The sequence below is a fragment of the Homo sapiens genome, chromosome 1 (assembly GCF_000001405.40).
Source record: "Homo sapiens chromosome 1, GRCh38.p14 Primary Assembly".
NCBI classification, from domain to species: Eukaryota; Metazoa; Chordata; class Mammalia; order Primates; family Hominidae; genus Homo; species Homo sapiens.
Window position 1 is genome coordinate 94,427,305 of NC_000001.11, and position 23,962 is coordinate 94,451,266.

Consider the following 23,962-nt stretch of genomic DNA (forward strand, 5'->3'; position numbering starts at 1 on the left):
ACCCTGATTTTGTTTATCATCAAATGCTTTGTAGCATAGTGAACAAAATTTACAAAAATTTCGTGGTCCCTTTCAAAGAAAAGAATGACCTTAGTCTGACATAGTTTTTTGGTGAATTCATATTTTCTCCTAAAAGTTACCACTTCCTTCTAAGTACCCATGCCATACTGCCCATTTAGATAAGTAAGTTGTAACTTTTTTCCTAGGATCAACATCACACTCATCCATGACCTGATGAATATCACCTTCTAATCTGTTTCAATGTAATATGAACTTGAATTATGAAGGAGAAAGATAGGATCTTCCTACATTTTCTTTGGAATTTTATCTGCTAAATTAAGTAAAATTTTACGGGAAATGGTATTTCACTATGTTGACCAGGCTAGTCTCGAATTTCTGGTCTCCAAGCGATCGCCTGCCTTGTTCTCCCAAAAGTATCAGGATTACAGGCATGAGCCACTGTGCTCGACCCTATTAGTTCTTTTGGAAAGATTTTTATGTAACTGTTGTTTAAAATGGCATTTATATTATTTCTACATAAAATTAGGCATCAGGCCCTTGCTTAAAAACATGGCTTTCATCATAACATTCTTTTTAAGAGTAAGTCACTTTTGTTTTAGGCATCTCTGTCAAGAATATAGCCTTCTATAAAGTTAAGGATAAAATTCTTTGGATAACTGCTATTTATGTAATACAGTGGAACTATTATAAATATTAAGATGGTTTGAAGCCTTCTTAGGTAAAATAGGAGTATGCTAAAAGGTGTTTTGTTTTTTTTTTTATTTTTTATTTTTTTGCCACAAGATTGAGAAATGGAAAAGTGTTTTTTTAAACACACCTTTCTTATCAGTTTGCTAGATTAGCAGGCCCGAGTGAATGCAGTTAAGTTAATAAAGTATAAAATTGAAAATAAAGCTCATCAAAGCATAATCAGCTAGTTTGATATCTGTAAATAGATGTAGCCGTCTCACCACTATAATGGTACTATAATAATTGACATAAAAGTGGATTATATGATTTACTCTATGCTTAAATTATTTGGACTTTAATATTTTATTAATACATTTATTGGCATTAAAAAGCACTGTGTAGAATGAGGCAACTGCTCTAGGTAAATAATAATTTAGTCAACATGTTATGTTTATAATGTATCATTGCATGTCACTATTTTAAAAATATTTATACAGCTTCTTAAATGTATGAAGTAAGCAATGTGAGACATAGTACGATATGGTTTGGCTGTGTTGTAGGAGGGACTGGTGGGAGGTAATTGAATCATGGGGGCAGGTCTTTCCCATGCTGTTCTCGTGATAGTGAACGGTTTTTTAAAGAGGAGTTCTCCTGTACAAGCTCTTTTTGCCTGCCGCCATCCACATAAGATGTGACTTGCTCCTCTTTGCCTTCCACCAGCATTGTGAGGCCTCCTCAGCCATGTGGAACTGTGAGTCCAATTGAACCTTTTTTTTTTGTAAAGTGCCCAGTCTCGGGTATGTCTTTATCAGCAGGATGAAAACAGACTAATACAGCAAATTAGTACAAGTAGAGTGGGGCATTGCTCAAAAGATACCTGAAAATGTGGAAGTGACTTTGAAACTGGGTAACAGGCAGAGGTTGGAACAATTTGGATGGCTCAGAAGAAGATAGGAAAATGTGGGAAATTTGGAACTCCCTAGAGACTTGCTGAATGGCTTTGACAAAAATGCTGATAGTGATATGAGCAATAAGGTCCAGGCTGAGGTAGTCTCAGATGGAGATGAGGAACTTGTTGGGAACTGGAGCAAAGGTGACTCTTGTTATGTTTTAGCAAACAGACTGTCAGCATTTTGACCCTGCCTTAGAGATTTGTGGAACTTTGAACTTGAGAGAGGTGATTAGGGTGTTTGGCGGAAGAAATTTCTAAGCAGCAAAGAATTCAAGAGGTGGCTTGGGTGCTGTTAAAGGCATTCAGTTTTATAAGGGAAGCAGAGCATATAAGTTCAGAAAATTTGCAGCCTGACAATACCACAGAAAAGAAAAACCCATTTTCTGAGGGGAAATGCAAGCCAGCTGCAGAAATTTGCATCAGTAACAAGGAGCCAAAAGTTACTCATCAAGACAATGGGGAAAATGTCTCCAGGGCATATCAGAGACCTTTGTGGCAGCCGCTCCCATCACAGACCTGGAGGTTTAGGAGGAAAAATTGGTTTCATGGGTCCGTCCCAGGGTCCCTTTGCTGTGTGCAGTCTAGGGACTTGGTGCCCTGCATCCCAGCCACTTCAGCTGTGACTAAAAGGGGCCAAGGTATATCTCAGGCTGTGGCTTCAGAGGGTGTAAGCCCCAAGCCTTGGCAGCTTCTATGTGGTGTTGAGCCTGCGAGTGCACAGAAGTCAAGAATTGGGGTTTGGGAACCTCTGCCTAGATTTCAGAGGATGTATGGAAATGCCTGGATGCCCATGCAGAAGTTTGCTGCAGGGATGGGGCCCACATGGAGAACCTCTGCTAGGGCAGTGTGGAAAGGAAATGTGAGGTTGGAGCCCCCACACAGAATCCCTGCTGGGGCACCACCTAGTGGAGCCATGAGAAGAGGGCCACTGTCCTCCAGACCCCAGAAGGGTAGATCCACCAGCAGCTTGCACTGTGCGCCTGGAAAAACTGCAAACATTCAATGCCAGCCCGTGAAAGCAGCCAGGAGGGAGGCTGTACCCTGCAAAGCCACAGGGGCAGAGCTGCCCAAGACCATGGGAACCCACCTCTTGCATCAGTGTGACCTGTATGTGAGACATGGAGTCAGAGGAGATAATTTTAGAGCTTTAAGATTTGATGGCACTGCCAGATTCTGAACTTGTGTGGGGCCTGCAGCCCCTTTGTTTTGACCAATTTCTCCCATTTGGAATGGCTGTATTTACCCAATGCCTGTACCCTCACTGTATCTAGGAAGTAACTAACTTGCTTTTGATTTTACAGGCTCGTGGGCAGGTCTCAGATGAGACTGGACTGTGGACTTTTGAGTTAATGCTGAAATGAATTAAGACCTTGGGGGACTGTTGGGAAGGCATGACTGGTTTTGAAATGTGAGGACATGAGATTTGGGAGGGACTGGGGCAGAATGATATGGTTTGGCTGTGTCCCCCTAAATCTCATCTTGAATTCCCAGTGTTGTAGGAGGGACAGGTGGGAGGTAATTGAATCATGGGGGCAGGTCTTTCCTGTGCTGTTCTAGTGATAGTGAATAAGTCTCATGCGATCTGATACTTTTATAAAGAGAAGTTCCCCTGCACAAGCTGTTTTTGTCTGCCACCCTCCACGTAAGGTGTGACTTACTCCTCCTTGCCTTGCACCATGATTGTGAGGCCTCCCCAGCCATGTGGAACTGTGAGTCCAGTTAAACCTCTTTCTTTTTTAGATTGTCCAGTCTTAGGTATGTTTTTATCAGCAGTGTGAAAACAGACTAACATGGTGTCTCAGAGGATAAGGACAACAATTCTGTAAATTTTTGTTAATTTAGTGAGTAGGCCTACATGTAAAAAAGCTGTTTTAAAATTAAATATGACTTTAATTTTAAAAATTAAACATTTTTGCATTATCAAAGTTAAATATACACCATGGAAATTTGAATAACTAGAAGAAGGGAGAAAACACCTTTTCTAACGTTTATCATTAGTGTCATATTTTATTGATTCTAAGATGCACTTTTTTTACATTTTAGCATCTCTGTTCACATTTTAACTTCTCTGAAATTTGGATGCAACTTACAATGATGGCATTTAGCTAAAATCATATTAGCATATTGGTGCATTTCCTTTTTACTATGCATACTTTTATCTTGCCTATAAAAATACTGCATATCAGCTTGCATGAAAGTCAAACTTCTGACTATAAATTCATTGTTGTTGCCATTCTTTAGTTTATCTTGGAGGTGTGGCTAAAAAAGGTAAAAATATGCGAAAAAGAAGAATTTGAGATAAAATCAGATTTTTTCCTCTTTCCAGAATGAGGGCTGGAGGAAGTAGCTTGGCCTGAGATAGGCAGGTAGAAATCAATCAACTACTCAAAAACAAAGAACCCAAAGATCATGCCACCAAGTCAAAGTCGAGTGCTTGCTATGTACCAGATGCTGGGTTTTCAGATGTTAAGCTAAAAAGTAAATTAGACAAGAGTTTTGCTGTTAAGAAACTCATAGACTATTGAAAGAGAGAATGTTGTATCTTGACATTTTATATGAAATTTCTAGTTCAAAAAAAACCAACAAACATTCCCTGATAATATTTTATTTAAAATATGGTTTGTTGTTGCTTTTTGAGACAGACTCACTCTGTGGCCTGGGCTGGAGTACATGGTGCCATCATGGCTCACTGCAGCCTTGACTTCCTGGGCTCAATTGATCCTCCCACCTCAGCCTCCTGAGTAGCTGGGACTATAGGTGTGCACCACCATGCCTGGCTAATTTTTAATTTTTTTGTAGAGATAGGGTCCCAAAGTGTTAGGACGATATAGGCGTGAACCACCATGCCTGGACTAAAATATAGTTCTTTATTTACCTGTGAATACAGTTATGTTGCATCAGGAAATTAGATTTAAGATATTTTCAACTGTAGGACTCGTGACTTTTTACCCCATCAACAGTGCCCAAGATATATTGTTTAGTAAAGAGGTGGGGTGGAGGAAGCAAGCATGGGACAGAATAAATGAGGTGATCCCATTTCTTAAGTATCATATAATTTCTAATTTAACTGTTACTGGTTGAATACATTTCTGTATGTATTTTATGACTGGTTCAAGAAAATATCTATTCTCTCTTCCCCCACTGGAGGAAACAGGAATGTGAGAGGAAATAACAACATTTATCCAGTACGTTCTGTTGAGCGCTATATGTCAATAGGCTAGGCTTTGAGATACCAAATTAAATAAACGTTATTTTTAACTCCAGTCTTGTGGCACTATTACTACAAATGCATAGAAAATTTGTACAACTGAGTATGAGTAGACCTGTGGTAGTAACACAGTTTAATTCTTCTGGTTGTTACCTGGGAGGGTTTCATACTGGAGCTTGACCTTAAGAAATATATAGTGTTTTGCTAAGGGGTAAAAGGCATTCCAGGTAGGGAAAACAGCTTGCACAAAGGCATGGAGTTAATGGAGTTATATTTGAGAAGGAACTGCAAGGAGACGAAGCTGGAGATATTACTATAAATAAAGTATTTATTGAACACTTAACCATATTTTAGACATTGTTCTAAATGTTTTACGTTTATTCCTAACAACAGTCTTTTGAAATAATTCTTTTTATTGTCTTCATTTTACAGGTGAGGAATAAGTAAAAATGGTATCTAATTATGAGAGTCCTTAAGTTCGAATTAACCATGTGGAAGGTAAAAGGCAGAATAAAACATTTAAATCAAAGTCTTTCAAATGAATTTAGATTCAAAGAACTCAAGAATCATTCAGGGGTTAAAAAAGGTTTTATATTAAATTACAAAGTGAAATTCATTATTAAAATTCTATTTGCTATATTAAGTCATGCATTGCTTAACAATGGAGATGTCTTCTGAGAAATGCACTGTTAGGCAAATTTTTTTTCTTTTTTTTTTTGAGACGGAGTCTCACTCTGTTGCTCAGACTGGAGTGCAGTGGCACTATCTCGGCTCACTGCAACCTCTGCCTCCTGGGTTCAAGCAATTCTCCTGCCTCAGCCTCCTGAGTAACTGGTATTACAGGCACGCACCACCACCATGCCCGGCTAATTTTTGTATTTTCAGTAGAGACAAGGTTTCACCCTGTTGGTCAGGCTGGTCTCGAATTCCTGACCTCGTGATCCACCCACCTCGGCCTCCCAAAGTGCTGGGATTACAGGCGTAAGCCACAACGCCCAGCCTTTTTTTTTTTTTTTCCAGACATAGTTTCGCTCTTGTTGCCCAGTGTGGAATGCAGTGGCCCGATCTCGGCTCACTGCAACCTCTACCTCCCGAGTTCAAGCGATTCTCCTGCCTCAGCCTCCTGAGTAGCTGGGATTACAGGCATGTGCCACCATGAGCAGCTAATTTGGTATTTTTAGTACAGACGGGATTTCTCCATTTTGGCTAGGCTGGTCTGAAACTCCTGACCTCAGGTGATCTGCCTGCCTTGGCCTCCCAAAGTGCTGGGATTACAGGTGTGAGCCACCACGCCCGGCCCGGTTAGGCAATTTTATTGTTGTGTGAACATCATAGAGTGCACTTATACAAACATAGATGCTATATACACACCCAAGCTGTATGGTATATGGTATAGTCTATTGCTCCTAGGCTACAAACCTGTACCTCATGTTACTGTACTGAATACTATAGGCAGTTGTAACACAATGGTCAGTTTTTTTTTTTTTTTTGTCTAAACATGTCTTTTTTTTAGACAGTGTCTGGATCTGTCGCCTAGGCTTTAGTGCAGCAGCATAGTCTTGGCTTACTGCAACCTCCGCCTCCCAGGTGCAAGTGCTTCTCCTGCCTCAGCCTCCCCTGTAGCTGGGACTACAGGTGTGGGCCATCATGCCCTGCTAATTTTTTTTTTTTTCCAGTTAAAACGGGGTTTTGCCATGTTGGCCAGGCTAGTCTCGAACTCCTGGCCTCAAGTGATCTGCCCACTTTGGCCTCCCAAAGTGCTGGGATTATGGGTATGAGCCACTGCTCCCAGCCTCTAAACATGTCTTAACATAGAAAAGGTTCAGTTAAAATATGGCATAAAAGATCAAAAACGGTGTACCTGTATAAGGTGTAGTTACCATGAATGGAGCTTGCAGGACTGGAAGTTGCTGTGGGTGAATCATTGAGTGAGTTATGAGTGAATGTGAAGGCCTAGCATATTATTGCACATGACTGTAGACTTTATAAACACTGTACACTTAGGCTACATGAAATTTATTTAAAAAAAATTTTTTAGTTTAAAAAAAATCACTGTCTTCCACTTCTATATCTTGTCCCACTGGAAGGTCTTCAGGGACAGTAAAATGTGTGGAGCTGTCATTCATATGATAGCAGTACCTTCTTCTGGAATACTTTTTGAAGGATCTGCTTGAGGCTGTTTTATAGTTAACTTTTTTTTTAAGTAGGAGTACACTCTAATATAATGATGAAAGTATAGTATAGTAAATACATAAACAAGTAACATAGTCATTTATTATTATTATCAAGCATTAAGTACTGTACCTAATTGTTTTATATGACTGGCAGTGCAGCAGTAGTTTCATCACCACATACATGTGAGTAATGTGTTGTACTGCGGTATGATGTCAGCTACAGAGTCACTAGGTGATAGGAATTTTTCAGCTCCATTATAATCTTATGGGACCACTGTTGTGTATGCATTTTTCACTGAAATGTTATGCAGTACATGAGTGTAATACAATCATGGTGCAATACTCTAAGAGTTAAGGCACCTTTTATTGTAGATTATACCACAGACAGAAAACTGCATAAATACATAAATAATGCAATGACATCTTTTACAAAACAAAACACCCTTTTAACCACTACCCAGATCAAGAAATAAATCTTTGCCAGCCACTGCAGAAGCCTTCCACATGGCCCTTCCCAGTCACAGCCCCTTTCCTCTCACCTAAAAGTAATTGCTATCCTGACTTCTGTATAATCGCATCTTTGTGTTTCCTATAATTTCATCACCCAAATGTGCATTCCTGAAAACTATAATTTAGTTGTGTTTGTGGTTTTTTTTTTATCTATGTCTCTTAACCTACATATCCCCCTGCCACCTCCCTTTCCCTTTCTTTCTTACAGTTTATTCCCTGAAGCAGCCAGTTATTTTGACCTGTACAGATTCTGTAGTCTAGATTATGCTGATTGCATACTTTTTCTTCATCCTTTGTATTTCCCATAAATTGGTAGTTGGATCTAAAACCTTGATCAAATTTAGGTTTTGCTTTGAGTTTTGTTTTTTTTCCACTTCCTAGGAGTTAGTGTGGTATATTCACCATCAGGAGATATATAAAGCCAGGCATGGTGGTTCTCACCTGTAATCCCAGCACTTTGGGAGGCCCAGGCAGGAGGATAACTTGAGCCCAGGAGTTTGAGACCAGTCTGGGCAACGTAATGAGACCCTGTGTCTATAAAAAGTAAAAAACATTAGGGAGGTGTGGTGGTACATGCCTGTAATTCCAGCTACTGAGGTGGGAGGATCACTTCAGCCTAGGAGATTGAGTCTGCAGTGAACTGTGATGGCACCATGCATTCCAGCCTGGGCAACAGAGCAAGATTCTGTCTTGCAAAAAAGAGAGTTATAGTGTCTAGTTTTCTCTCTTTTTGTGATTTTAGCAGCCACTGATGCTTGACACCTAGATCAGTGAATTTATTAAAGCTTGCAATATGGTGATATTTGAATTCTGTTATTTCTTCACTTATAAGGTGGAATGCTTCCACAGAAAGAAACCTTTTCTTTTCTGCTATCTGGTTAGTAGTTGTACCTAGTGGTGCAGTTCAATTAGGAAAAGTTGGATATTTGCTTCTTCATTTACCAGTTATCAAAATAATATGTTAATTTCGTGTTATTACCTAAAAGTGACCAGTGAGTTCTTCTTGTCATTATGAACCTTTTGATTTAATTATTTGTGCTTCAGTTTATTACAGCTCTTGTCCTTATTTTTGCTCAATTGTCCCATCTTGGACCAATGGGAGCCTCTTTAAGCTGGCTCCTTAGTGCTTTTGACATGGCTTTAGTGATCTTTGATAGCTTCCTTGCTGTCTGTAGTAATATGTTCCAGGCTCCTCTTAGACATTTCCTGACCCAGATCTAGAATCAGCTTTTTTTCCTAAGAAGAGGTTGCTTCCTTTTATTGGGAAATGGTATTTCAAGATCACAATTGGAATTTAGGGATGCTCATTGCTACTAGGTTGGCAGTTGTTTCTAGGCTTTTCTTATGGACAGAGCCACGATATGCATACTGACACTTCCAATCCACATACAAGATTTCAAGATTTTTTAAATTATCATCTTCTATTTACATCTGTATCTCCTTGTATCCCAAACTGATAATCCTGATTCTCAAAGACACAGTTGATGGTCAAATTAGAGTATCACGGAAATATTCAGTTGCGTTATCCCACTTTACACACTCAGTGTTCTCCAAATAATAATACAAATATCTCTACTATTAATATGATTACTGAAAATAGTTAAATTTTTTTCACATAGGCTCTTTCCATTCTTCCTTATTTTTTGGTTGTACTGTATCTGTGTTGTCAGAGCATATTGATATAGGCATGCCTCATTTTATTGCACTTTACTTTTTTGTGCTTTGGCGGTAATGTGTTTTTTACAAATTGAAAGTTTGTGGCAACCCTGCATTGAGCAAGTCTATTGAAGCCATTTTACCAACAGCATGTGCTCACTTCATGTCTCTGTATCATATTATGGTAATTCTCGTGATATTTCAAACTTTTTCATTTATCATATCTGTTATGATGATCTGTGATTGGACATCTTTGTTGTTACTATTGTAATTGTTTTGGGGTGCCATGAAATTCAAAAGCTAGGTTTCTTGTGCCAGTTAGCCAAGTTGTGAATGCAAAGGAAAAGTTCTTGAAGGAAAACTGCTCCTTCAGTAAACACAAGAATGATAAGAAACAGCCTTATTGCTGATAGGGAGAAAGTTTGAGTGGTCTGGATAGAAGATCAAACCAGCTGCAACATTCCCTTAAGCTAAAACCTAATCCAGAGCAAGATCCTAACTCTTCAGTTCTGTGAAGGCTGAGAGAGGTGAGGAAGCTGTAGAAGAAAAGTTTGAGATTAGCAAAGGTTGGTTCATGAGGTTTAAGGAAAGCAGCCATCTCTATAATATGAAATTGCGAGGTGAAACAGCAAGTACTGATGTGGAAGCTACAGCAAGTTATCCAGAAGATCTAGCTAAGATAATCGATAAAGGTGGACTATACTAAACTACAGGTTTTCAATGTAGACAAAACAGCTATCTATTGGAGAAGATGCCACCTAGGACTTTCATAGCTAGAGAAGATAAGTAAATGCCTTGCTTCAAAGAACAGTCTGACTCTTTTGTTAGGGGATAATGCAGCAAGCAATTTTAAGTTGAAGCCAATACACATTTACCATAGTGAAAATCCTAGGGCCCTTAAGAATTATGCTAAATTTACTCTGCCTACATGTAAATGGAACAATAAAACCTGGATAGCAGCACGTCTGTTTACAGCATCATTTATTGAATATTTTAATACCACTGTTGGGACCTACTGCTCTGAAAAAAGATTCCTTTCAAAATGTTACTGCTCATTGTCAATGTACCTGGTCACCCAAGAGCTCTAGTGGAGATGTACAAGGAGATTAATGTTGTTTTCATGACTGCTTATACAGCATCCTTTCTGCAGCCCATGGATTAAGGAGTAATTTTGACTTTCAAAGCCTATTATTTAACAAATACATTTTGGAAGGCTGTAGTTTCCATAGATAGTTATCTCTGTGATGGATCTGGGTTAAATAAATAGAAAACCTGGAAAGGATTCAGTACTCTAGGTGCCATTAAGAACATTTGTGGTTCATAGAAGAAGGTCAGAATATCCACATTAATGGGATTTTGGAAGAAGTTATTCCAACCCTCATGGATGACTTTGAGGGGTTCAGGATTTCAGTGGAGGAAGTAACTGATGTGATAGAAATAGCAAGAGAACTAGAAGTGGAATCTGAAGATACAACAGAATTGCTTCAATCTCATAATAAAACTTGAAAGGATGGCCAGGTGTGGTGGCTCACACCTCTAATCCCAGCACTTTGGGAGGCTGAGGCGGGCAGATCACGAGGTCAGGAGATCGAGACCATCCTGGCCAACATGGTGAAACCCCATCTCTACTAAAATACAAAAAATTAGCCGGGTGTGGTGGCATGCGCCTGTAGTCCCAGCTACTTGGGAGGCTGAGACAGGGGAATCGCTTGAACCTGGGAGGCAGAGGTTGCAGTGAGCCGAGATCACATCATTGCACTCCAGCCTGGCAACAGAGCAAGACTCCATCACACACACACACACACATACACACACACACACACACACACACACACACACACACACACACAAACTTGAAAGGATGAAGAGTTGCCTCTTATGCATGAGCAAAGAAAGTGATTTCTTCAGATAGAATCTACTCTTGGTGAAGATGATGTGAACATTGTTAAATGACAACAAAGGATTTACAATATTACATAAACTTGGTTGATGTGACAAGATTTGAGAGGATTGATTGACTCCAAGTTTGAAAGTTCTATTGTGTAAAATGCCATCAAACAGCATAGTATGGCACAGAGAACTCTTTTTGTGAAAGGAAGAGTTAATCACTATGGCAAACTTCAGTGCTGTCTTATTTTAATACATTGCCACAGCCACCCCAGCCTTCAGCAACCACTGCCCTGTTTGTTCAGCAGCCATTAACATGGAGGCAAGACCCTCAACCAGCAAAAGGATGAACATTTTTTAGCAATAAAGTATTTTAAAAACCAAGGTATGTCCATTGATTTTTTTTTTAGACGTAATGTCATTGGATACTTGAGAGACTACACAGTATAGTGTAAACATAACTTCTATGTGCACTGGGAAACCAAAATGTTCACGTGACCCACTTTATTGCCTGTTAGCTTTATTGCTGTGGTCTGGAACTGAATGTGAAGTGTCTTTGAGGGTACACTGCTATGTATTCTTTCCCTTTTAACTCTCATTTATTCCTAGTTCTGCAAGTAAATCCATATTGAGTGCTCACTACCTCTTTTTAGGTCACTGGCTTTATAGTCATTCTTCTTGTCCAGAGCTTGTTCTGTAGTAAATTCCTCAGGAAGAGCTCATGGAACAATAATCTCTGAATTGTTTCATGTTGCAAACAGTTTGTCTGTGACCTTTGTACTTGAAAATTTGTCTGGATGTAAAATCCTAGGTTCACATTTTCTCTTCTTGAATATCTTAAATATGTTACTCTATTGTTTTCTGACACTGAGGGTTGTTAACAAAGTCTGTGGCTAATCTCTTTTGCTTTTCCCTTTTAAATGACTTGGTCTTTTGTGTATCCAAAGGATTTTTTTTTCACATTAAAAAAAAATTCTAGGCTGGGCGCAGTGGCTCATACCTATAATCCCAGCACTTTGGGAGGCTGAGGTGGGCAGATCACTTGAGGTCAGGAGTTTGAGACCAGCCTGGCCAACATGATGAAACCCTGTCTCTACTAAAAATACAAAAATTAGTCAGGTGTGGTGGCATGTGCATGTGGTCCCACCTGCTCAGGAGGCTGATACAGGAGAACGTGGGAGGTAGAGGTTGCAGTGAACTGATTGTGCTGCTGCACTCCAGCCTGGGCAACAGAGCGAGACTCTATCAAAAATAAAAAATACTCTGTTTTGTTTGAATATATGAAATTGTATATTTGTATATAATTTGTATATTTACTTTCATGTTTTATCTGTTGTGTTTATTTGCCCTTGTACTTTTTATGGTTTCATATTCAATTTTGAAATTATTTTTCTTTCTAAATTTCTAATATTTTATCACCACATTTGTAAGTTTAAAAAATATTATTTTATGCTGTGAGTTTATGTCTAGCATTGGCTTCTTGTACTTCATTTAGAGACAAACTCTCACTGTGTTCCCCAGGTTGGAATGCAGTGGCTATTCACAGGTGCAATCACAGCTTCCTGCAGCCTTGAACTCCTGGCCTCAAGTGATTCTCTAGCCTCAGCCTCCCAAGTAGCTGGGATTGCAGGCACACACCACTGTGCCTGGCTAGCATTGCTTCTTAATTTTTTCTGGATTATTTTGACATCATAGGTTATAGTTTTTATATCTTGTAGGAATGTGTTTCTCACATGCTTTCATTGTCTGTAGGGATATTTTTATTCTTGTATTTTTTCTTATAATGTTGTAAAAGATTTAACTTTGATACTATCCCATTGTTTGCTTTTCTTTTTTTGTCTGAAATTAATTTTTTCAACTTTTAGAAGAGGAAGTTTGATTTAGGATAACTTTTCTAATTTATGCTCTACAGCACCCTCTTCTGTTGTTTTCAAGTAGTGTTTGAAAATACTGTTTACTATCTGAGATCTCTAGGCTGTTTCTTTCTTACCCTTTGTTCCTATGGTCTCACATAGTATTCTGTTCCTTGCAGTTTCTCTTCGCAGGAGGCTCTGTTCTGAAAGGGAGCTTTAACTGGTTAATTTTGAGTCTTCAAGGGTCCAGGCTGCTCCAAGCCCAATAGACATTACCTTGAACTCCTTGCACTTGCTTACAGTGCTGTTTACTGGACTGTGTGGAATGCCTCCCAGTTCAGCTGCTGCTCTCAAATTGGTCCTTTAAGTTTTCCAGTGAGTTCTTTTAGTGATGTAGGGATCTTCCCGAGGTGGATAAGATACCCTATTACTTCACTCTGCTACCTTTCGGGTTTTGTAGCTGTTGGTAGGTTGTTACCTCCTATTCATATTTTGGGATTTGTAGAAATACTTTGTCATCTAGTTTTCTAGTTTCGTTGTATGTGTTGTCCATGGGTTTTGGGTTTTGCTATCCTAGTTGCTCAGTCAGGTTTTTTCTTGGGAGGTGGAGGATGGGTTCAAGGAGCTTCAAAATAATCCCATTTATCTCAAATCACTAGAATAAAGATAGAATTTTTAATAAATGCCAGTAGAATAATTGGTTAGCCATTGGAAATGCGATAAAATGAGATCTACATCTCATACCATATGTAAGGATAAATCCATTAAAGTATACAAGTGCCAGAGAAAAACATGGGTGGATTCCTCTATAACCTGGGTGTAGGGAAAGCTTTTGTAAGTGTGATTCAAAAATCCAGATGCAACAAAAGAAAATATTGATACATTTGACTATATAAAATTAAAAAGCTTCTGTGTGGTAAAAACCCACCATAACAAAAGACAAATGACAAACTTATAGAACATATCTGTAATATATATCACAGATATAGGGCTAATAAGTATATAGATGATTCTTAAACATGTGATTAACCTCACTTAAAATATGAGAAATGCAAATTTAATCTATACTAAGATACTGTTTCACATACTACTTTGGCAAAAACTTAAAAATGCAACAATATACTTTATTGGTGAGGCTGTGAAGAAACTGGAACTCTCTTAAAATCCTAGTGGTAATGCAGAGGTGCAGCCTTTGTGGAGGGGAATTTGATTATAGCTAACAAAACTGCGTATGCATTTATGTATTGACTCAGTAGTCCCACTGAGGATACAGCTCTGAAAGTGTTCAAATACAGATGTGTAGGGTTATTCATTGGGCATTTCTTGTTATTACAAACTATTGGAGACAACCTAAATGCCCATACATGCATAAGAGGTGGTTGAATAAACTATGGTACTTACACACAATGGAGTGTTACAGAGCTGTGAAGAAAAATGAAGGTGCTTTCTATGGACTGATAGAAAGTGATTTCTAGGAAACATTAAGTGAAAAGTACAAAAGACTAGATATGCTATCTTTTATGTAAGAAAGAAGGGAAAATCAAATATGTTATTTGCTCATTTTGTACAAAAAGAAGATGGATAAATAAGGAAATGATGAAACTGGTTACTTAGAGGGTATGAGTAAGAACGGGGTCAAAAGGAGGGGGTGGTTGAACAAGGTAAGAGGATATTATTGGGATAATCAGAGAAATTGGAATAAGGTCTGATTAGTTTTAGTATTCTATCCATGTTAATTTCATGATTTTGATAATTGTACTATAGTTATATAAGAGAAAGTCTTTGTTTTTAGAATGTAAACACTGAAATATTTAGAAGTAACAATCTCAGATGGCTTAGGAAAAAATGCATGTGTGTGTATATATAGAGAAGAATAAAGCAAATTTGTTAGAACATTAATTGGGAAATCTAGATGGAAGGCATAGAGAATTCAGTGTATTATTCTAGCAGATTTTCAGTATGTTTGCAATCATATCAGAATTAAAAGTTTATTTTAAAAATACTGTGCAATTGCTATAAGCCGTTTTCCCAGAATTCCGTCTGTAAGATGACTTATGTGGCTCTTCTGCCTTTTTTCTAAAGGACTTCCATATTTTTATGGAACACTATTTTATAGTTGCTGTGGAGGAACCCAATTTTATGAGTGTAGTGAATCTTATAAACAAGTTATGCAATGTGCTTTAGTTATCAACTTTTGCATTGGTATTATATATAATTTTTAAAATAGTCTTTACATTAAAAAAATGGTTTAAATATATTTAGGAGGTATAAGTGCAGATTTCTTACATGCATATATTAGACAGCAGTGAAGTCTGGGCTTTTAGTGTACCCATCACCTGAATAGTGAATGTTCTACCCAATAGGTAATTTTGCAACCCTCACCCCGCCACCCTCCCACCTTTTGTAATCTGCAGTGTCTGTTATTCCACTCTGTATGTCTATGTGTACACATCGTTAAGCTCCCACTTATAAGTGAGAACATTTGATATTTGACTTTGTTTCAAAGTTATTTCTTGGGATAATAGCCTCCAGTTCTGTCCATGTTGCTGTGAAAGACATGATTTCATTCTTTTTTATGGCTGAGTAGTATTCCATGGTATATATGTACATTTTTCTTATCCAGTCCTCCATTGATAGGCACTTAGGTTGATTCCATATCTTTACTGTTGTGAATAGTGCTATGATAAACATACCAGTGCAGGTATCTTTTATATATATATATTTTCTTTCCCTTTGGATGTATACCCAATAGGGGGATTGCTGGATGGAATGGTAGTTCTGTTTTTAGTTCTTTGAGAAATCACCATACTGTTTTCCATAAAGATGGTAATAATTTATATTCTCACCACAGTGTGTAAGCATTCCTTTTTCTCCACATCCTTGCCAACATCTGTTGTTTTTTGACTTTTTAATAATAGCCATTTTGACTGGTATAGGATGGTAATCTCCTTGTGGTTTTAGTTTGCATTTCTCTGATGATTAGTGATGTTGAGCATTTTTTCATGTTTTTGGCCCCTTTGTATGTCTTCTTTTGAAAAATGTCTGTTCATGTTGTTTGCCCACTTTTTAATAGGGTTACTTGTTTTTTTCTTGTTGAGCTGAGTTCCTTGTGTATTCTGGATATTAGCCCTTTATTGGATGCATAGTTTGCAAATATTTTTTGCCATTCTGTAGGTTGTCTGTTTACTCCATAGACTGTTCCTTTGTTGTGTAGAAGCTTTTTAGTTTAAGTCTCATTTGTCTATTTTTGTTTTTGTTGTGCTTGGTTTTGGGACTTGGTCATAAATTCTTTGCCTAGGCCAATGGCTAGAAGAGCTTTTCTCTTGTTTTATAAACAAGTTATAAGATGTGCTTATCAGCTTCTGGGATTTGTGTAGTTTTAGGTCTTACGATAAGGTCATTAATCCATCTTGAGTTAATTTTTGTATGTGGTGAGAGGTAGGGGTCCAGTTTCATTCTACATGGCTATGTAATTTTCCCAGCACTGTTTATTGAATGGGGTGTCCTTTCCCCAGTGCATATTTTTGTTGACTTTGTAGACATCAGTAGGTTGTAGGTGTGTGATGTTATTTCAGGGTTCTGTATTGTGTTTGTATAGAAATTTTAGAATTCACATGTTGGGATTTTGGTGGAGATTGCTTCTGATAGATAGATCACTTTCTAATATTGGTTATATTGCCGTATTTTTTTGGATCAGTCTTGCCATGAGCTTATAAAATGTGTTAATTTTTCCCAAAATTAAACTTTTAGTGTAGTTTTCTCTCATGTCTTTTTTATTTCATTATTTTTTGCTTCTATCTGTGTTTTTATATTTTTCGGCTGGGCACAGTGGCTCATGCCTGTAATCCCAGCACTTTGGGATGTTGAGGCAGGCAGACCATGAGGTCAAGAGATCAAGACCATCCTGGCCAACATGGTGAAACCTCGTCTCTCCTAAAAATACAAAAATTAGCTGGGCATGGTGGTGTGCGCCTGTAGTCCAAGCTACTTAGGAGGCTGAGGCAGGAGAATTGCTTGAACCTGGGAGGCGGAGGTTGCATTGAGCCAGGATTGTGCCACTGTACTCTAGCCGGGGGGGCAGAGCGAGACTCCATCTCAAAAAAAAAAAAAAAAAAAAATGGAGTCCCACTGTGTTGTCCGGGCTGGTCTCAAACTCCTGGACTCAAGCAGTTCTTCTGCCTTGGCCTCCTAAAGTGCTGTGATTACAGGTGTGAGCCACTGCACCTGGCCATTTTTATTTATTTTAAATTATTTTAGGCACTGGACAACATGTTGAACCTTCTTCTTAAATATACGCATTTAAGGTTATAAAGTTCTTTGTGAACACTGCTTTAGTTGGAGCCTACAGATTTTTTGTTATAAACCTTTTCATTTTGTAAGTCTGTTGTTACATATATTACTCATTTCAAAATATTTTCTGATTTCTTTGACCCATGACTTTTCACCACCCCAAAGTTCAGTGGTTTCAGCGATTATCTTTTACCCTCAGTTCTGTGGGTGGCTGGGCAGTTCCTCTGCTGGTTTTGTCTAGGTTCACTTGTAAGACTGTTGATTTCTTTTTTCCATTATTTCATTTTTTGTTGGGAACAGGCCCCTAAAACTGGCCATAAACAAAATCTCTGCAGCACTGTGAGATGTTTGCAATGGCCACGATGCCCATGCTGAAGGTTGCAGGTTTACCGGAATGAGGGCAAGGGACACCTGGCCCACCCAGGTTGGAAAACTGCTTAAGGCTTTCTTAAACCACAAACAATAGCATGAGCAATCTGTGCCTTAAGGACATGTTCCTGCTGCAGATAACTAGCCAGACCCATCCCCTTGTTTTGGCCCATCCCTTTATTTCCCGTAAGAAATGCTTTTAGTTAATCTCTAATCTATAGAAACAATGCTTATACTGGCTTGCTATCAATAAATATGTGGGTAAATCTCTGTTTGGGGCTCTCAGCTCTGAAGGCTGTGAGACCCCTGATTGCCCACTCCACACTCTATATTTCTGTGTGTGTGTGTCTTTAATTCCTCTAGCGCCACTGGGTTAAGGTCTCCACGACCAAGGTGGTCTTGGCAAGTGGCGCCCATACATGGGGCTCAAACCCAGGTTGAGGGGTCGCTGGAGTGATGGTTGGAGAACATGGAACTAAGCAGGAGGACACCCGGGTACTCTAAGCAGTCCCCATGGTGGGTAAGAAGGGGAGCTCGGAAGCATCAGGGTAACATTGGGACAAGTGTGGGCTCTGGTTCGTTCCACCTTGGAACCTTTTCACACTGATGTGGAAGGAGAGTATAACGAAGTAACAGAGCAGGTTTGTTTGCCACCTAAAGTAAAAACAGCAAAGGAGGAAGAGGTTCATCCCTACCCTCCTGCACCCCCTCCTTATTTTGAAGAAAAGGAGTGGCCTGACCCTCCAGATCTTTCTTTTCCAGAGGACACTGGGCGAAAAGTAGTTGCCCCAGTGACTGTTCGAGCAGTGCCTCTTCAGTGCTGTAAAACAGGGACCAAAAGAACTGTACATGGATTTTATAGCTCGGTTACAGGAGTCTCTTAAAAAGGTGATTGCAGATTCAGCTGCTCAGGATATAGCGTTGCGGTTATTAGCTTTCGGCAATGCTAATCCCGAGTGCCAGGCTGCTCTGCGACCTATTAGAGGGAAAGTACATTTAGTTGATTATATCAAGGCCTGTGATGGTATCGTAGGTAATCTGCCTAAGGCTACTCTGCTAGCCCAAGCAATGGCAGGACTGAGAGTGGGTAAAGGAAATACTCAGTTTCCTGGAGCTTGTTCTAACTGTGGGAAGCATGGTCATACTAAAAAAGAATGTAGAAAAAATCAGCGAATCAGGCTGCCAGATAGGGGAAAAAAGAAAACTGCTGAGCCTGAAATATGTCCAAAATGTGAAAAAGGAAAACATTGGGCTAATTGGTGTCACTCTAACTTTGATAAAGATGGGAACCCAATTTCGGGCCCCATTCCAAATGGGAGCATTTCCGGCTCAGGCCATTCCCTCACCCCTGGGCAATGTCTGTCCCCTGCCACAGCTGGTAGTGCCGTGGTAGATTTATGCTGCACAAAAGCTGTGAGCCTTCTGCCTGGGGAACCCCTGCAAAAGGTCCCAACAGGAGTCTGTGGACCCTTGCCAGCGGGGACAATAGGATTACTTCTAGGAAGGTCTAATTTAAATTTAAAAGGAGTACAAATACATACAGGAGTCATTGATTCAGATTACAATGGAGAAATTCAAATTGTTACATCTACTTCTGTTCCCTGGAAAGCAGAGCCAGGAGAGCGCATAGCACAGCTCCTGATTGTGCCGTATGTGGAAATGGGGAAAAGTGAAATTAAACAGGAGGATTTGGAAGCACAAATAGACAAGGCAAAGCAGCTTATTGGGTGAATCAAATTACTGATAAATGTCCTACCTGTGAAATAACTATTCAGGGAAAGAAATTTAAGGGTTGGGTAGATACAGGAGCGGACATTTCAATCATTTCTCTACAGCACTGGCTGTCTGCGTGGCCAATTCAACCTGTTCAATTTAACATAGTTGGAGTTGGTAAAGCCCCTGAAGTATATCAAAGTAGTTATATTTTGCATTATGAAGGACCTGATGGACAACCTGGGACTATTCAACCGATTGTAACTTCTGTACCTATAAATCTGTGGGGAAGAGATTTATTACAATAATGGGGAGCAAAAGTTCTAATTCCAGAGCAATTAAACAGCCCTTAGAGTCAACATATGATGCCTGAAATCAGGTATGTCCCTGGTATGGGACTAGGAAAAAATTTGCAAGATTTGAAGGAACCGCTTTAAGCGGAAAGACAAAGTTCCTGCCAAGGTTTAGGATATCATTTTTGATGGCAGCCATTGTTCAGCCTCTAGAACCTATACCTTTAAAATGGTTAACAGATAAGCCAATTTGGATAGAACAATGGCCACTAAGTAAAGAGAAACTGGAGGCTTTAGAGAACGTCGTTAATAAACAATTAGAAGGACACATAGCTCCAACATTTTCTCCTTGGAATTCACCAGTTTTTGTAATTAAGAAAAAATCAGGTAAATAGAGAATGTTAACTGATTTAAGAGCCATTAATTCAGTTATACAACCTATGGGAGCATGGGAGCATTGCAGCCAGGATTGCCTTCTCCTGCTATGATTAAAAAAAATTGGCCTTTAATAGTCATAGATTTAAAAGACTGTTTCTTTACTATCCCCTTAGCTGAGCAGGACTGTGAATGGTTTGCATTTACAATTCCTGCAGTAAACAACCTACAGCCTGCTAAGTGTTTTCATTGGAAAGTGTTGCCACAGGGCATGTTAAACAGTCCAATAATTTGCCAGACTTATGTAGAGCAAGCAATTAAACCTATTGATAAAAAATTTTCACAGTGTTACATTATTCATTATATGGACAATATAATTTGTGCTGCCCCCTATCGAGAAACATTACCCCAATGTTATGATCACTTGCAAAATTCAGTTTCTAGTGCTGGTTTAATTATAGCTCCTGACAAAATTCAGACTACTACTTCTTACTCCTACTTAGGGACCTTAGTAAATGACATTACCATTGTGCCACAGAAAGTAGCCATACGTAGGGATCAATTGAAAACATTAAATGACTTTCAAAAATTACTAAGGGACATTAATTGGATACGACCTGCTCTAGGCATTCCTACCTATGCCATGAGTAATCTATTTTCTATCCTTAGAGGAGATCCTAGTCTCACTAGCCCTTGGCAATTAACAAAAGAAGCTGAGGCAGAGCTTCAGCTAATCAAAAGCAAGTCCATAAAGCTCAAATAAATAGAATAGATCCAGAAAAGACTCTAGATTTGCCAGTTTTTCCAACTCAGCATTCATCTACTGGTGTTATTGTCCACAAGCAGGACTTAGTAGAGTGGCTTTTTCTTCCACATACTAATTGACGGACTCTAACTCCTTATTTGGATCAAATTGCTACTATGATAGGAAACGGGAGAACTCGGATTGTTAGATTACATGGATATGATCCTGGAAAAATTGTTGTCTCTCTCATGAAGGCACAAGTACAGCAAGCTTTTATAAATAGTCTTACTTGGCAAACCCATTTAGCTCACTTTGTGGGTATTCTCGATAATCATTTTCCTAAAACGAAACTGTTTCAATTTTTGAAATGAACTAATTGGATCCTCCCTAGAATAACTAAATTTAAACCAATTGAAGTTGCTGAGAATGTTTTTACAGATGGGTCTAGTAACGGTAAAGCTTCTTATTTTGGATCAAAAGGTAAAGTTTTCCAGACGCCTTATACTTCAGCTCAAAAAGCGGAGCTTTTGTAGCTGTAATTGAGGTATTGACTGCTTTTAATATGCCTATTAATGTGATTTCTGATTCTTCATATGTGGTTCATTCCACACAAATAATTGAAAATGCTCAGTTATGTTTTCTTCTGCCTGTGTTAAACGTCACCTTTTGCAGTGTTTTGCGGTGATGGGCATTCCAGCTTCTATTAAAACAGATAATGCCCCAGGCTATACTAGCCAAGCTCTAGCTGCATTTTTCTCTATGTGGAATATTAAACACAGTACTGGTATCCCATATAATTCTCAAGGACAAGCCATAGTGGAAAAAATGAATCTGTCCCTGAAACAGCAGTTGCAAAAGCAGAGGGGGATAAACAGGGACTACGGGACACCCCATATGCAATTGAATCTAGCATTATTAACTTTAAATTTTTTTTAGCATGCCTAAAGGCTAGATGCTATCAGCGGCTGAACAGCATCTACAGAAACCAGCTGCAAAGACAGAAGCAGAACAACTGGTTTGGTGGAGAGATCTGATAACAAAAAGTTGGGAAATAGGTAAAATAATAACTTGGGGTAGAGGTTATGCTTGTGTTTCTCCAGGACCGAATCAACAGCTGATTTGGATACCATTAAGACACCTGAAACCTTATTATGAGCCAGATGCCAAGGAAGAGATTCTGGGAGGATCCCGAGGACCCCGTAGTTGCAGCCATGTCGAGATTGACACTGAGGAGGATCCCAACTGTCATGAGCAATACCCATCGAACATAGCCACCTACTTGGGGACAGATCAAGAAGCTGTCACAGATGGCGGAATAAAAACCTGAGGAAAGCAGGACAACCAGTCACAATGAGTAATTTGATGGTACCTATGATAGCAGTGATTACCATTGCCGTGAGTATTCCTTCAACAATGGCTGACACAGAGAACAATTATACTTATTGGGCATATTTATCAATCTTGGCTGGCAGTAATGCCTGGATGTAATCACTCTATGACACAGTTACACATGCTTTCTGATCTCAGTATTTACCGTAATGAATCTGCTCCTATAATTGAGGCATACCGCCCTCAAAAAGCTATTTGTAAACAAAATTGAACCTGGCCAGAAAAAGTGAACGTACTTGTTTAGGAAGATTGCATTGCAGAACAGGCAGAGGTGCTGCACAGTGATTTCTATGGAATCATTATTGATTGGTCCCCTAAGGGGATGTTTAGCTTGAATTGCATCTCTCAGTCTGCGTGCCACAGCCACACTTATGTTCAGCTGGTCTGAACAAAATGGTCAGATGGTAGAAATGGTAAGAAGTATGGCAAGAGTTCCTATTATCTGGAAACATGGCGGTATGGTGGCACCTCAACCTCAAATGATATGGCCCGCTGTGGGAGCTAAACATAAGGATTTGTGGAAACTATTAATGGCTGTTAACAAGATCAAAATTTGGGAAAGAATAAAAAGCATCTAGAAGGACACTCTACAAACTTGTCTTTGGATACTGCAAAATTAAAAGAACAGATATTTAAAGCAACCCAGGCACACCTGACCTTAATGCCAGGAACTGGAGTGCTTGAAGGAGCTGCAGACAGATTAGCAGCTAGTAACCCATTAAAATGGATTAAAAACACTTGGACGATCTGTGATTTCACTGATGATTATGCTTTTAATCTGTGTTGTTTGTCTTTGTATAGTCTGCAGATGTGGATTCCAACTCCTGCGAGAAGTAGCTCACTGTGACAAAGCCGCCTTTGCTTTTATTACTTTGCAAAACAAATAAGGGGGACATGTTGGGAACAGGCCCCCCAAATCTGGCCATAAACTGGCCCCAAAACTGGCCATAAACAAAATCTCTGCAGTACTGTGACATGTTCCTGATGGCCATGATGCCCATGCTGAAGGTTGTGGGTTTACCGGAATGAGGGCAAGGAACACCTGGCCCACCCAGGGCGGAAAACCGCTTAAGGCTTTCTTAAACCACAAACAATAGCATGAGCGATCTGTGCCTTAAGGACATGTTCCTGCTGCAGATAACTAGCCAGACCCATCCCTTTATTTCCCGTAAGAAATGCTTTTAGTTAATCTATAGAAACAATGCTTATCACTGGCTTGCTGTCAATAAATATGTGGGTAAATCTCTGTTTGGGGCTCTCAGCTCTGAAGGCTGTGAGACCCCTGATTTCCCACTCCACACTCTATATTTCTGTGTGTGTGTGTCTTTAATTCCTCTAGTGCCGCTGGGTTAGGGTCTCCACGACTGAGCTAATCTCGGCAATTTTTACCCCTTCTAGTAGTTTAGAAGTTATTCTCTTTTTTCTTTTACAAGTTACCCTAGAACTTTTAACATGGGTTTCACTTTTTTCAAGTCTAAACATCAATCGGTAATACTTTATCATCCTCCCAGATAGTAAAAATACTTTAGAATACTACCTTCATTGACTTTTCTCCTAATTTATGAGCATTTGTTGTGGTGTAACTTTTTCTTAGCCATGTGAAATCTCTTAAACCTATTGATTATATGTTTAACTTCAGTTGTATATTTTATTTTTAGAAATTTCATTTGGTTTTCTCAGATCAATGTTACTTTTTGGTAGGTATCTTCTTGGTAGGTATCTACTTCTTGGTACCTACTTCTTGTTAGGTATCTTAAAAATTTTTGTGTGTGTGTTTAAAAAAATACAGTTTACATTGTTTTATAGGATGACTCTGGAAATGCCAACTGAAATCTTGGGTTTGTTTTTGTTTTCTGTA

At 39.1% G+C, this 23,962-nt stretch overlaps 1 protein-coding gene across 7 annotated transcripts in view; it reads left to right on the forward strand.

The window, feature by feature from the left end:
• The window catches only part of ABCD3 (ATP binding cassette subfamily D member 3), a 133,533-nt gene that overhangs the window by 42,174 nt on the left and 67,397 nt on the right, over nucleotides 1–23,962 (forward strand). For 2 of the 7 annotated variants that reach the window (XM_047426546.1, XM_047426554.1), the window contains exon 1: nucleotides 798–22,110. The exons of the other annotated variants lie outside the window; for them this stretch is intronic. The gene's annotated coding sequence lies outside the window, so the exon portion shown is untranslated. Of the gene's footprint in view, nucleotides 1–797; nucleotides 22,111–23,962 lie in introns of those variants that run through there. 7 annotated transcript variants of the gene reach the window in all.